Genomic DNA, 15,716 nt, shown 5'->3' with positions numbered 1-15,716 from the left:
CCTCGGGAGTATCATGGGAGGGGCTGTGGCATGACCCCTGGTGTGTACTCTCTGGAAGACTACAGAATGCTGGTGGCTAAGGGATTCCACACCCCTTCCACCTTTTCGTCCACATTGTTTCCTCCTCTGTCTTTTACATGGGCATCTACGTCTACTTCTGAGCCCAATCTATGACCCATGCATTCATTCATTCACTATGTATTGGTTGTCTACTCTGCATCAGACACTCTGCATGGAAATGAAACACAGCAACTCCCATTACCACCCCCCACCCCCATAATGCCTGTCTCCTAGTCCAAGGAAGAGAAATTTGTAGGAAAGGACCATCCGAACTAGCTTGCAGAAGTGAGGGGGAGGGGGTGGGACTCCTGAGTCAGTCTGGGATAACGAGTAAAAACTTAAGCAGAACTGGAGAAGCCCGTCCTGCATCTCCCTTTCCTTATCTGTAAGAATCAGGCCTCCTTCCTGCTCTTGTCCCTTGGCTCCTAAGACCCTGGGGCAGCTGGAAGGGGTGGATGTTGGCCTGGGGATGGAGAGGGACTTGAGTGGGACAGTGAGCAGGCCAGGAGCAGTTTACAGACAAAACCTCAGGTAGGTTGAGGAAGCCAGAACCATGAGACAGAGGCGACTGGAGTCAGAAACAAACGCCATGATCTGGAGTCTCCCAGGTCTGTGTCTGAGCCTCCATCAGAGCACAAGTACGTGGAGGGAAAGGAGTCTGGTCTCAAGCAGTCAGCTTCCTCTCCTGAATGGGAAACGATGGACCTGGGAGACCAGCTGGCTGGGGTTTAAACCCCAGGCCCGCCTGTCACCATCTACATGGCCTTGGTGAATTTGCCTGATTATCTTAAGCATCAGAATGTTCATCTGAGAAAACAAACAAAAAACATTCGTAAGGATCTGCCGCTGACAGTTCGTGTCCTGCTTTTCTCTAATAATCAGTGCCACTTCGGGTGAAACATTCCTGCAGTTTTTAACCACCTGCTACCTGATGTCATAGTTCTTTGTGTAGTCACCAAGACAGATTCCTCCTGAGGAGCTATGAGTTCCAGGCAGGAGTTGTGACTGTCCTTCCCTGGAATACCCACGGAACTCAGTCCAGTGTCTGGCACACGTAGGTGATCAGAAAACAGCTGTCTTCCTCCTTCATTCAGCCCACGGAGAGGCGGGCTGTGAATGCGCTTTGCCGGGGGGGATGGGGAACCTGCTGCGCCTCTCCTGGCGCCTGGAGGCCCAGCCCTGCGGGGCGGAGGGGCTGGAAACCTGACAGCTCCCGACCTGTGAGGGCCGCCACCTGCGGAATCCCACAGGGCAGCGCGGGGAAGCAGAGCGCGCGCTGGGCCCTGGTGTCCCGGGACGCTGCAGGACGACGCTCCGTTAACCTCCTGGCTCGTTCTGATACTGAGGCTGCATAAAAAGAAGGATCCCATACAAATGAAGGCCAGTGTAGCGGAAGGCTAAATACTTTTAATTAAAGGAAGGCACCTGGAGACCCAGCCGCTGGGAGGAGTGAACTAGAGAAAGTCCGCTGTGCTCTGGGCGGGGATGGGGAGAGACACCCTGGCCCTGGAGGGGCTCGCCATTCCTCCAGGGCCCTTCTCCTCTGCTACCCCACCCCTCCTCCCTACTCCTCCCACCTTCAGCAGGCAGAGGGGACAGGAGGTGGCCTGACCCAGAGGAGTTAAGGGTGAGGCTTGGGCGCCTGGAGGAGAGGGGACTTTCTGTCCTTTGGAACAACTCTGACATTGTGTCTCTGACCCAGAGCCCTGGGGACTCAACCCTCAGACCCCGATCTGAAGGTGCGGAAGGAGAAAGTGATTGTCCCCAGGCCACTAGGCAAGTGAGAAACACTCAGGCTTCCCAGGACTGCCAGCATCAGGGCCTTCTTGCTGCCCTGCTGCAAATTCTAGGCAGCAGTGAAGCCAAGGATAACACCTTGGGGAGCCTTTAGAGCACTCGCATTTCTTCTTCATCATCACCGGCATGACTAAAATTTGCAGAGCTCTTAACAAGCCCTGTGCCATGCGCTTCATCATCTCATTTAATCCTCACACAACTCCTGAAATGAAGGTGTTCTCATGATCCCCATTCCACAGGTGAGGTCACTGGGGGTTCAGAAGGGCTAAATCACCTGTTAAGGTCCCACAGTAACTTGCATAGAGGAGTCTCCAAGACAGTCCAACTCAGAAGTTCAAGGTTGCAGACCTTTTTCCTTAGAGATAAGGCACCAAGAATGGTGAAAATGTTGGACACGCCACGCTTTGGACAGCATCTGACACATAGTTGGTGCTTGCTCATAAAGTAGGTGTTCAGTCATTGCAGTGGCCTCCTCCTTTAGCCAGACCTCCCTTCCCATGGTCAGGGTGTGTGTGTTCCCCTGGAGGATGACTCTGGAGAGACAAAACATGGGACACAGGGACCACCTGCTGGCCCCCAAGAGCCAGGGTCAGGGGCAAAGGCATCTCAGATGCCTGGGTCCTGACCTCTAAACCAGGGTCTTTTCTGCAAGTGAAGATGGGAAAGGGTGAGTGCTGGCGCAGTCTCTTCCTCTCTCTTTGTGGAAAGGTATGATGAGGATTGGGGATAAAGCAGAACTGATATCTCTGAACCTGTAACTAATATCCAGAACCCAAAATGGCCCTGGTTGGCTTTAAGCTTCTTGATTCAGATTCACCTTTTTTTAGCACTCACTACATGCCAGGCACTCAAGTATCTTGCAATGTGCCAAGCAAAGGTATATCCTTATTCACTTGCCTTTTAGAACCAAGGTTCCTGTGGACACCAGGCACAGTGGCTCACACCTGTAATCCCAGCAACTTGGGAGACCAAGGCAGGAGGATGGCTTGAGCCCAGGAGTTCGAGATCAGCCTGGGCAACATGACGGGACTGATTTCTACTAAAATAAAATAAAATAAAATAAATTTGCTGGGTATGGTGGTGTACGCCAGTGATCCCAGATACTCAGGAGGCTAAGACAGACAGATTGCCTGAGCCCAGGAGGTTGAGGCTTCAGACTGCAGTGAGCTGTGATCAAACCACTGCACTCCAGCCTGGGTGACAGAATGAGACCCTGTCTCAAAAAAAAGGTTGCTTTATTCAAATTGGATTCTACCTCATCATGCCATCTCCTGTGCGGTTACTAATAATGAAAAAAATAAACAGCCTAAGCAGGGACTTCCTTGCAGTCACTGAATGGTCCTGTGGAGTGAAACCTACCAGTGACCTTGGCCTGAGTGTCAACAGGGTACAAAGCCCTGTAGAACTCCTTGCTCCTAGAAGGACAATAACAAACACAATCTTGTACAGACCAAGAGTTCAGTAGCACCAAATCCTTGTCTAATGGTCTGCTGAGAACCAGTTCTGGGAAGGAAGATCTTCAAGAATGGATAGTGACTTGATGGGAATTTCTGGACCCAGTCATGACAGAAGGGAACCTTTTGGACTTCTGAAAAATCAGCAAGTGCTCAACAGTCTTCACCAAGCAAAGCAAATGTTGGAGGACAATAGTCAATGCCAATGTCATCAGGAGTCAAACAGTAATGATCTTGTCTACCACTCCTCATAGGGCCTGAAGCTAGAACGCGGTTATTTACTCCTTCTCCCATCTACTTCTCCCTGGATCTCAGCGCAGGCCAGAGTAAGTGAGCCCCACAGAATTGACCTCATCCTCCCCCAGGGCCATTAGAACAATACCTCCCCCTTTGGGGCACCTGTAAATCAGGGCCCCAAAAGGGTCTGGCAGTGCTGGAATGAGGTGTGGCTTGGCAAGGAGACCTGCATGTTTAGTACAATGGCGTGATTGTGTGGATTGTTCCAACCCAGCAGCGCTCAAGTGGTCACATGTTCCCTGGGCAGCAGGTGCTATAACCTTTGCCCAGAGATTTGGAGCCTTCGGTGGTGAGACTGAGTGCCGACGAGGAGGAGAGCGGCCTGGCTGTCTCCCACTGCCCTTGGGATCTGGGGAAGGTCACTCCCTGACCCTGCCCATGGCCTGTGCCCAATTCTCACCCATATTCTACTCAGAGGGTCCTCAGCTATCCAGAAAAAAGAGAGAGGCAGGCAGCATGCCCAGGTAAACAATAAAAGGCTACTGAGTTTCTGCTTCTGCCACTAGCTGCCAAGAACCAAAGAGCGGCAGGCACAGCTAAGACTTCAGTCCAGTGTTTATCTTATTAACTGCTGTGTGCCCAGCACCCAGCACCACACCATCACAATGAGGCCATTGTGTAACCCTTGCCACTCAGTCATTCCATCGAACACTCATGTAAGCACAAGCTTTTACTGAGCATTGTCTCTGTGCCAGACACTGTTCTAGGCACTGGGGATACAGCAGTAAGCAAAACTACCAAGAATTCCTGCCCTCATGTAACTTACCTTCTACTGGGGAGAGACAGATGATAAATAAATAAGTGAAGTAGACAATATGTCAAATGGTGAAGAGAAATAAAGCAGAGTGAAAGGGATAAAGCCGGTGGCGGCGTGGTGGGGGAGGCAGCGTTGGTTTGCAATAGGGGGATTGGAGAAGAGTTCCCTGAGAAGCTATCTTGGAGCCAAGACTTGGAGGTGAGGGCTCAAGCATCTCATCAGCCCATCTATGGCAGTATTGGTCCTAGACCAGCATCCCCTCCTCACTTCTCTGATCTGACTGTCATCAGACAGAAACTTCCCCTGGGCCACTGGAAGATTTTGAGGTGGGAGGAGCCATATCTGCTTGCAGTGACTACTGGGCTTGGGGAAGCTGAAGCTCACCAAAGGACATGGGAAGATAGGATGGGGCTTACACTCATTCTGGTCTTCACAGGGCTGCAGCCCATCACCAGCAGTCAAGGATAGAATTGAGAGTCGAAAGCTGACTATGACAATATTTCCCCACCCATCCCCATCACCACTTCCCTCTATCCTCAGGGCTGCCATCATCCCTTAGAATTATGGGAACACAGTGCCCCACCAACACCCCACCCTGCCTACAACCTGGCCTCCTGCAATCCATTCGCCACACTGTAGCCAGAAAAAGCTTTCCAAAACATGTCTGTTCCTTCACTTTCCCCAACTAAGATCCCTTTGCTTTTTAGTATAAAGTCCACATTTCGCAACATGCCTACAAAGATTTTTGTGATCTAACCCAGCACACTTTCCCAGACCCATCTCTCAGCTCTCACTACAGATAACACACACACACACACACACACACACACACACATACAAACATGCACTCTATTACTGTACTTTATTTCCCACTACACTGAACTTAGTTCCCTAAATGTACCTGGCCCTGTCTGGATTCTGGACCTTTTTCTGCCAGTACCAAAACATTCCACCTTTACCCTTCACATTCTCACATTTGCCTGGTGGATTCCAACTTTTCTTTCTAGTCTCTGCTTAGAGGTCTCTTTTTCTGGACAGCCAAGGCTCTGTGGGTTACCCTCACTGCTCCCCACACCTCCGCCTCTACACTCTAGCCACATTACAGCACGAAGCACACCTCCCTACCAGGACCTGCTTATTGGTTCCATGAGGACATGGTTCTTGTTTCAGTCGCCACTGTGTTCCCAGGTCCTAGCAGATAGTCCAGCACTTACTAGATGCTCAGTAAATGCTTGTACAGCTAAATACGTCAAAGGGGAGGAAGATCGGAAAATAGAAAGGGCTGTCCTGGTGAGGGAACCATGGCATTATATTGATCATCATAATTGCCTCATCCCTTACTTTTCTCCATTTCTTAATAGCTTACAAATCATTTTCACGTCACCCTGCTAATAAGATGTGGCTGTTACATGTATAGTTTTACTAAGTGTGAGAAACCCGAGAATTTGAGGTCAATGCTCACAGCAGAGCGGTATCACGAACCCAGGTCTCTCTGACTTTGAGTCCAGGGTGCTTTCCACAACTCACAACTCCTTGGGCTCTAGAATGGAGAGACTAAGTTTCAAACATGGCAGTACAGCTATCTCTTGAATCCTGAACAAGAGACCATAAGACTGAACTCAGTCACCTAATTTGACTTGTCAAAGTGGCTTGAGGATCTCAGGGGGTCAGCGTGTACCCTCTCTTTATTTCCTGGTTACCTGTGGGCAGTCAAGGCTGCTTTCAGGATCAGGAGCATTACCCAGTCAGGACGTGCATCCTAAGCTTCTGTACACCTTGGTCACTGCCTGGAAAATGGCAATGGCCCTGGACTGGGGAATCTCTCCAGGTACTCCCTTACGCTTCCCTACCTGCTTACCTTTAGTCTTTAAAGGGATATTCAAAAGCTGCAAAAAGACAAGACAGACTAGGTTTATGGGAAGCTAACTTGTCCATATTCATTCTAAAGGTGCCCAACATGTACTCCCACTGTTCCCTTTGTCACTTCTCATCTCTCCAGGAAAATATTTATACATACAGTTCATTACAGAACAATCTTTTTTTGTGGAGTACACTATCTTGGCTCACTGCAACCTCCAACTCCTGGGTTCATGGAGAAACTGAGCCTGGAACGCCATGGCTCTGGAAGCCATGGGAATGGTATCTTCTATTCTGGATTCTGCTCTCCAGAGTCACAGGTCCCTGGTAGCATGGAACACTCTCTCAGAACTCAGAGAGTTCTCAGACAGTAGAACTTGGCAGCCCATTGAGCTGCTGGAGTAGGCTCTAGTCTGTGACTGTAGTCTTGGACGCCGTAAGAGAAGACTCCTGAGCCCCAGAGAGTGCACAGTCAGATCTAGGATGGAAGGGAGGAATAAGGTCACTCACACCTGAGAGACCACCTCCTCAGTTTGTCCTCATTGCTCCTTCTCCCCAGCCGCCTTGCCCCACTGCCATTTTTGGGACCTCTCTCTGTCTCTCGGTATCCCTGGTATAACGACTGTGACACCTCACCAAGGTCCATGCGCAATGCTTCTCTGCCATCTTTCTTGTGGCTAGTTTGACTTTCAGCCACTAACATTTATTGAGCACTCACTGTGCTCCAAACACTTTGTCTGCCTTAAACATCATAATATCGTACAAGAGAAGTGCCATTATTTGTCTCAGTCTTCAGACATAGAAACTTTGGCTCAGAGAAGTTGAGTGATTGGCACAAGGTCACACAGCCAGTATGAGAATGTGCCAGGGTTCTGGCTTTGGCCACCAGATTCCCAGCCCAGCAGTGTGAGCCCTATGGTCTCTCTGCATTATGGAATAAAGGGTACCAGACCCCAAATAGGAAAAAAATCATTCTCTCAAGACTCTAGGCCATCTTCACTGGAGCAAGTGATTCTACTTAAAAAATAAAATCTCAGAGCAGATGGGATCAAAATCTATAAAGTGCAGGGAATGTGGACAAAGTGGACAGAAATTACCAGAGACACAGCACACTCCAGGAGGTTCAAAGGAGTGGTGTTTGGAACAAATAAAAGGAAACGCTACATGACATAAAATATGGTAGGCCTAAAAATAGAAAGAATTTTAAAACAAGTTTAGAAAATGTGTAAATGGATGACTCACTCATTCTTGCCACAAGTGTGTTCTGTGTCTGTGCTTTGCAAGCCCAGTAGGAGTTCAGTCGGAGAGCGATGGGATTCACCATGACACCAGCCTTTGATTCCTTTACATTCTTGCAGTTACCTACCCACTCTGTGGGCCTAAAAATCATACATCTCGTTACTGGGGTCAAGCTTCTTCTCAACAGTCCACTAGTGGCCCCTAACACTGACACTGTTTTTAAGTTTATTTTCTAGTTTATTCTAATGCTTCCTTGGAGTTATTACAGTTGTCCATGCCTTGGAGCTACTCCATGGGGTAGTGAAGAGAATGCTGGTTCAGGTGTTAGATGGACCTGAGTTCAGATCCTGGTTCTGCTGCTCAGCAAATGGGTGACCCAGAGCACCCTCTGCGGCACAGTTGCCTCAAAGCCCTGGCTTCACTGGGTGTTGTGAAAGATAAATGGGGCTGTGTAGAAGGCACTCCACAGTTCCTGGCATTAAGTAATACTTAGTAAATTACAGTAGTAGTAGCTGTTGTTGTTAGAAGGAAATACCATGCTTAGCATTCCCTCGGGGTAATGGTATGTCCACCCTGGTGTGGGGGCCACAAGCAGCAAGGATAGCCACTGAAGCATAGAGAGGAAAATGGGGTTCCAGATCCCTAAGCCCTCCAGGCTGCTCCTTCAGATGCAGGGAAGGCAGGCGCTGTGTGGTCCACAACATGACACAAGAGGACACAGCCCTGTAGTGAGCCTAGCCCCATGAAGGAGTGGGTGAAGCACCCAAGTTTGCTCCACTCAGAATGTGCCAGAAGCCCTCCTGGGGTAAGCAAAAGGCCAGTTAGATCTCTTGAATCTTCTCTATGCCTCAACCTCATTCCCTTGCCCCACTCAAACCTGCAGAGTCCCTGGTCCCTTCAACGGTCCCTGGGCACTGCCAGGAGCTGGGGAGGATAGGCCCTGTTCCGTGGTTTGTGCCCACAGCAGGAACCGCTGGCATTCCAAGGCCACAAAGAACAAAAGCCAATCCTGAGTCTGCTGAAAAGCCCTGGGCCTGGGTTTTTTCCTTGGCACTTCCCCAAGAACAGCTGTCAGGAAGGCAGCCACTCCAGGGCCCTGGCACTGGTTGGAGAGGATTCCTGCGCCCTGACTCCTGCTGCTCTGAGCTGGACCACAGGGGCCTAGCTGAGGGGAGGGCATTCCTGCCCGGTGAGCTGCTCTCATTCTTATGGTTTTCATTGAAATGTGCCTGTGGAAGAATCACCAGCAGAGTATCACAGAGAAATATGACCCTCCAGGATACCTCTAACAAGGATCAGATAGTAATGGGCAGATGATGTAATGCACCACTCTCTCAGGAGCAAATGAGATAAATGGAAATGTTCATGGAGGCTTACTGAGCAATGGAGGCTTCAGCAGTGGCTGTTCCCACCTTCACCATAAGGTCTGTCCTCAGTGTAGTTGTGAATGGAGTCAGTGTAGTTGTGTGGAGTCAGTGTAGTTGTGAATGGGAGCTTAAATGGAGGGCTTTACTCTGGGCACACCAACTCTCTTACAGCAATGGGGATGGAGCTGGAGGCTGTGATCCTAAGCAAATTAATGCAGAATCAGAAAATTAAATGCTGTATGTTCTCACTTATAATTGGGAGCTAAGCATTGAACACACAGAGACATCAGTATGGGAAAAATAGACTCTGTGATCTACTTGAGAGTGGAGGGAGAGGGATGGGTTAAAAAAACTACTTAACTTGGGGCGGCCTCTACAGCCAGCCCCGCTTGTCTCTCACAGGATCCCTCCTCCTGCTCCTGGCATGCTCCTGGCAGCCATGAGCCCGCCCGGTTGCATGCCCACTCGCCTCTGCCTGGAGGAGTGCTGCCGCGGGGGCGCGCCCCAGGTCCCCTACCCTGAGCCCTGATGCCCAGCTCCAGCGTCAAGATGCCAGAAGAACAAGAACCCAGCGCCGGCCTGACCTACCCAGCGCCTGCGCCCCGGCCTGCAAGACACCACGCCCTCCTCTGCTCTGCGTGGTGCGTGGAGGGGCCCCTTCGGATCGATCGCAGCCGCTGCCACCATAGCCGCCACCATAGTCGCTGAGGCAGGCGTCAGTGGGAAGGACCTGAGAGTGGCTTTCCCAGCCGGCTGCCACACAGGACCTCTGGATGCTTAGCCCGCCCGGCCGAGAGCTCTAAAGTCAAGGCATGACTTAACAGCTTATCTTGGAGGAGAACAGCTCAACTCAAAGGCAGATTGCCAGTTCGGAGTTTATTACAAGCAGAACTGCTATGATGTGCTTTTAGCACTGAAGTGAACTCCATTGTAAGTACAGAAAGTGGCATCTCTGCTTTCCCCCAGAAGCACAATCGTATACACCTTGCAGACTTGAATCACTGAAGATGTAAGCCAACTGTTACTCTGAGTTTCGGAGACCCCCTGTGGACAGCATGAAGCCTGTCCCTGATCAAAGTCTTAGTAAGCAGGAAGGAGTCAAGGTTAAGGAATGCGTCTGATTACCCTGAACTGTAGTACCTTGGAAAGTGAACCAAGGCTTGAGTTTTGTTCTGGAAGCCTGCCTTGCCTGCTTCTGTAATCTGGCGCTCTGCATGTGAATCTTGGATCTATATGGACACTGCTATATGTTACTGTCATGATTCTCTGCTCTTCCATGAGCTCAGACTTGGCACCTTATTTTACTTCTGAGCCACCTCTACCGTCCAGAAAGGTGGTGGACCTGTAGAACTACATTGTTCTGCCAAACCTGTGACCACTCATAGCTCATGGTTGCATAATGGAAAAAAGGATAGAAATATGGAACATACAAAGCTTCATCAGGGGACTTTGACAATGCTTTCTCTGAACTTCTCTCTTTTGGGTTTCTACCAATCCATTGCCAACAATAGCGTTGGTATTATTTTGAGTGGCCCTGTAACAGTATCCGTGGCAGTTTTTGGTGATTTTGGTTCATCCACAAAGTATGTTATTACAGAGGAGGAAAAAGTGCTGTCAGGATAATAGAAACGATGTCAGCTGTGATCGTGCAGAAAATCCAGAAGAGTTCAGCAGAGGAGACAGCTGTGTCTATTCAGAAACAGACAGCAACATTTTACGTTGGAATCCTCTTATTCTGCCACCTATCTCAGAGGACTGTGCTGAAGAGACAACATGGCCTCCGCCTGGTGTTCCTTTGCACAGCCCCTCAGGGGTCCTCCAGCAGCTCCAGGAAACTGGAGGATGTGCAAACAACCAGTCATGTTCCAACTTCAATCCTGTAACTAACTGCACAAAACAGGCCTGGGAGTGAACTGTTTGAAGGACCTTAATTCAAATCAGAGAAAATGACTATTTTTTTTTTTTTTGTAGCATAATGTCATGTCAATGTGTCTTAAAGTGTGAGCCCTTTTATATTATTTATGCCTTAAAAGTTTTCTTACCCATTCCTTCCTTCCTTTCAGGAAGAAACAACCTTGTTTTGCATAGCTTTCAATCACCTGGAGGGCAGAGGGATCATTCCATGTTTTCTAACAACCATAGTGGCAGTAAGAACTCCTCATGCAAACGATTCCGTCTCTTGGATGCTTCTGCTCAGAGGAAATGCAGAGGCCAATTGAAGGTTGCCACCAGTGAGGTTTTCAGGTGGAAAACTGTCTTTTAATAGTGTATTATCAAACTTTCTGAGAACACTTTGAAGTCAACCACAGTTTTGACCCAGTGTTTATAATAGCAGACCTGGCCGTTGAATTTTTTAAGAGTGCCTTCCACCAAAGTGGTAACGTGACCAGACGACTTTCTCTCTATCTGCACGTAGGCACAAGTGATGTTCAGTCTTCTAGGCGCTAGTCATAAGTGGTGTCGTGGACATGGTAGAGTGTGAGATGTAGTTGAATGATTGCAGTATGCAGAAAAGGAACCAAGACCAGAGAGACAAATAATGCCTTACTATCCCTCTGCTTTAAAATTCATTGATTGATAAAATGGCTGGTATGGGGCTCTTTTTGACTGCTTCTAAGAGTAGGAACAAAATAAGACTTTAAGTCGTGGCTTGAAAAGAAAGATACACATTTTCAGAAGAAAGAAAGGGGAGGGCTGCAGGGAACCTGTCTTGGAGGGAGCTCTTCAGTCAGCTCCATTAGCCTAGGAGCGTGCTCATGGTGTCACACTGCCAGTAACTAGTCACTCTCTCACTTCCAACAGGGGCAACAGCCTGAAGGTGTGAGTGTCAGAAAATACTTACTTTGGAAGAAAGGTGTGTTTTTTGTTGTTGTTGTTGTTTTTTTTTACCCTGAAGTTTCCTGACTTTTTTTTTCCAGAATGTCTTCCTTGTAAACAGGCACCTAAAGCATCGGTCAGCAGAGTTCCTGATGACTGCTACCTCTGTGTGACAAGGACATTTGCAGCTGTCTTTGGAAGGCTATTCTCCACATTAATAAATGATAATAATGATGATAATATATTTTTTAAAAACTACCTATTGGGTACTATGCTGACTACCAAGGTGACAGGATCTGTATTCCAATGACAGCAGTAATGCAAACATACAATTCTGTAGCCACTTATATTTTAATAGCATTATACTCTTTTAACCATCCTCATCTTGTATATAATCTCATTGTATGTTAGAATACAGCTATTAGAGCAATAAGGAAGAATGGATAAATAATCAGGTTTTTGTTTTTGTTTTGTTTTGTTTTGTTTTTCTTTGAGACAGGCTCTCACTCTGTCACCCAGGTTGGAGTGCAGTGGTGAGATCACAGCTCACTGCAGAGTCGATCTCCCCAGATCAAGCAGTCCTCCAACCTCAGCCTCGCAAATAGCTGGACTACAGGCTGAATTGTCATGCCTGAGTAATTTTGTTGTTGCTGTTGTTGGAGAGACAGGGTCTCACCCTGTTGCCCAGGCTTCTCTCCAACTCCTGGCTCAAGTGATCCTCCCACCTCAGCCTCTAAAAGTGCTGGGACTATATATATATATAATATACATGTATATATGTATATTTTCTGTATCTATAATAATAGTCCTTGGAAAATTAGCTTACTGCTTGAAAAAATATATATGAATGACCGCTTTGAAATATATGTATTTTATATATATACATATCTATATACACACACACATATATATGCATATATATGCAACCTTCCAGTGACAGTAGGTACGCTTTTGGCTTCTGAGATGAACATATTCATGATGATAAATATTTACTATGAATTCAGCTAAACATGAAACTCAGCAATATTCATGTCTATTTTTCTCTATTTCTACCTAAATCTGTATTTGAAAAGTTGTGCCTAAGCCTTCCTAGTTAGTTAGATTTTTATCCTTTACCATTCAATGCGTGTGTGGCTTGGAGACTGTTTTCACAGATCAGGAAGTTGACAATTATGTCCCACATTCAGTGGACTAACAACTCAGAGATCCTCTCTGTCATTAAACTTGTAGATCAGAGTTACTCCTTATAGATGGAGTCAGCCTTTTTTAGACTTTGTCCTCAGCAATCCTCATTAAAGGAGGCATTATTTTCTTGCTTTAAATAAATTCAAAAAACACATATCAGAAACTTTTGATATGTTTGTTGTGTGCCATATTGTCAGTAATTAAATTAAATACTAGAAAATACACCATTAAATATGATATTTGATATACAGTTGGCCCTCCATATGATAGGGTTCTGCATCCATGGATTCAACTCATCATGGATTTAAAAATTTCAGGAAAAGAATTGAATGATTACGTTTTCACTGAACATGTGCAGACTTTTTTTTGCTTGTCATTATTCCCTAAGTCATATAGTGTAACAACTACTTACATAGCATTTACACTGCATTAAGTATTTTAAGTAATCTAGAGATAATTAAAGTACATTGGAGGATGTGCTTAGGCTACATGCAAATACTTCACCATCTTATGTAAGGACATCTGAGGATTATTAGCATCCAAGATTTTGGTATCTGTGGGGAGTCCTGGAATCAATTTCCAGTCGATACTTAAGGAAAGGCTTCATACCAAGTTAACATGACCAAAATATACATATTTCTGATAATAAGGATATTTTACTGCACATGTGTCTTAAAAATTTCAAAGACCTTAATAAATTTGGAATTTTATTAAAGTGTAATGAGGCTTCTGAGTATTCTGTATTTTCTGAAGCAAAAAGTGAGTCTTACTTTCTATTCTGGTAATGACATGTTCCCAGGTAACTGTCTGTAGGATGCCATCGGTGAAATTACTAAAACCTAACAGGTTTTCAGTCTTTTATCTGTATCATTGTCATTCTGTTAAGATCTGTGTCCATCAATAGTTTGTTCCTGAGCTAAAGAAAATTGACTGAGCCTATCAATTTGATAAGCATCCAATTTATATCTTCATTAAATAATATTTCTCAGTATCCCTGTTGATTTTGGTTACATTCAGTAGCCAAAATCAATAGTAATACAGGGGTAAATTTGGTAGCCTTTTAAATAGTTGTATCATATGTTTTCATCAATTAGTTTGTGCATTTATTCTTTTATTCAAACAGACAATTATTGAATATCAGTTATATCTTAACCATTGTCTACTTTCTTGGAATATAACTGTATGTAGTACAAACACAATCCTTTTCTTGTAATTTGAAAAGCAGAAAATAAGCCTACTATTACATTGTGAGTTTTACAAAGAAAAGTATAAGGTTTTCTGAGTCTTTAAAACAAATAGCCTAATCTAGCCCAGGAGCTAAAGAAAGAATTCCCTGAAGAAATATTGGAACTTACACTTGATGAAATGTGACTTAGCAGATGTGGAACAGAGAAAAGGAAATTCCGGTTCAAGGGGAAGAACCCCGTGCTCTTGCATTAACCCATCAGTTTGGATAAACACACGCAGGTATTCATTTACCTGGGCTGGCTTGGAAATCTAGGGGAAAAAAAAGATACAGCATAAAAGAAAAGACATGCACAGTATTCTAAGAGAGAGTAGTTTAATGAAAATCAAAACAAATGTATACCTCCGCAATTTAAAAATGGTACAAATTTTATAGAAACAGATAAAGAAAATCAAGTAGTCAGTAGGTTAGCATTTTCAGAAGATGGTGTTTCTGATACCTTTAGTCATGTTACTGACCTATCCCTGATTCTGTGAGTGCAAACGTCTAAGAGTGTAAGGGAAAGAACCTGAGAGGCTACAAATGAGAAACCTGTTGGCCACATTAACAAAGCTTACCATACCAGATTCATAATCTAGAAACATCCCTATCTGTCCTAGAGGCCTTTCTGTATACTGAGGTAATAGTGAGGAAGAGGTCTTGAGATGACACCAGTAGCCTTCTTGACACGAAATGTAGAAAAAAATTCTTGGAGTTAACCAGCATGTCATTTCTTATTGTCCAAGAATCGTTGCAAAATCCAACAGCCCAGTTCCAACACTGCCCAACATCCACCTCTCAGTAATATCTTCAAAAGTGAATGGCAGGGCTTGCCATCAAGAAAACAGATTTTGTTGGAGCTGGGGCAATGCTGAGATCATCAGAACCAAAGAGTAGCTGTCTCAGAACTTCAAACGAGGGGGATGCAAGAAGTGGTTATTTTATTATCCCGGGAAATATGTGCTGCAGGAATAAGAAAACAGTCACATGAAAACACAGTGTTATAAACTTCTAATGGAGGTGGGCTTTGCATAGTGTCTACATATGTCAGGTTGTCACTGGAAATATGGGTCAGGACAGCAGGAATACTCGTGAAGTTTACTGATGTTCAAGGGTTACTCCATATTCATAACAAGCAAATCCTGAACCAGAAAAATGGGGAAAAATTACAATATTTTTTGGAATCTATAAAGAACAGAAATTATTGCTAAGCTCACATGCCCTAGAACATTTAAATTTGTAGAATTTTTAATAATTCGAAGTGAGTAGCAAAAGCAGCTTGCTCTTATTCTCAGAAAAATAATGTAAATAATAACTCTTATTTTAAATAACCACTTTGTCTCCGATTTACGGATTTTTCACTGAAGCATGCATAGGTATAATAAAGTAAAAGAAAATCCACATATGCTTTTGAAAGATTTCTTTGTGAGAATTCTCTGCCAGAGTATCTCTTGAGAAAGGGATAAATCCAGTGAAATTAGTTGCCAGTTGACTTTGTGGCTGTTGTTATAAATATTCCTCTAATGATTTTAATATCGTGGATGATTATACAAACTATTTTGTGTATTGTTATACACCACTGTAATACTGAGTGTCAGTAACCACAAGCTGGGGCTTGACAAGCTTACCTGAGGCAGGCATCCTGCTTCCTCAGACCCAGC

General features: G+C 45.6%; 1 long non-coding RNA gene across 1 annotated transcript, besides 1 other annotated feature; it reads left to right on the top strand.

Annotated features, from left to right (window-relative positions):
* Window positions 748-1,438: an enhancer, noted in NCBI's record as "H3K27ac-H3K4me1 hESC enhancer chr2:96314951-96315641 (GRCh37/hg19 assembly coordinates)". NCBI's record gives its function as "activates a minimal SCP1, AML or CMV promoter by ChIP-STARR-seq in primed H9 embryonic stem cells {active_cell/tissue: H9 hESC(primed)}" and the evidence as "EXISTENCE:reporter gene assay evidence [ECO:0000049][PMID:30033119]".
* On the top strand, window positions 8,840-13,551 carry LOC124905589 (uncharacterized). Its single transcript, XR_007087141.1, has 2 exons — window positions 8,840-8,885; window positions 9,231-13,551. It is a non-coding gene; the product is annotated as an uncharacterized LOC124905589 (long non-coding RNA).
* The last annotated feature ends 2,165 nt before the right edge of the window (window positions 13,552-15,716 follow it).

This window comes from Homo sapiens, chromosome 2, assembly GCF_000001405.40.
Source record: "Homo sapiens chromosome 2, GRCh38.p14 Primary Assembly".
In the NCBI taxonomy this organism is placed as follows: Eukaryota; Metazoa; Chordata; class Mammalia; order Primates; family Hominidae; genus Homo; species Homo sapiens.
This window is presented reverse-complemented; position numbering and strand designations above follow the sequence as displayed.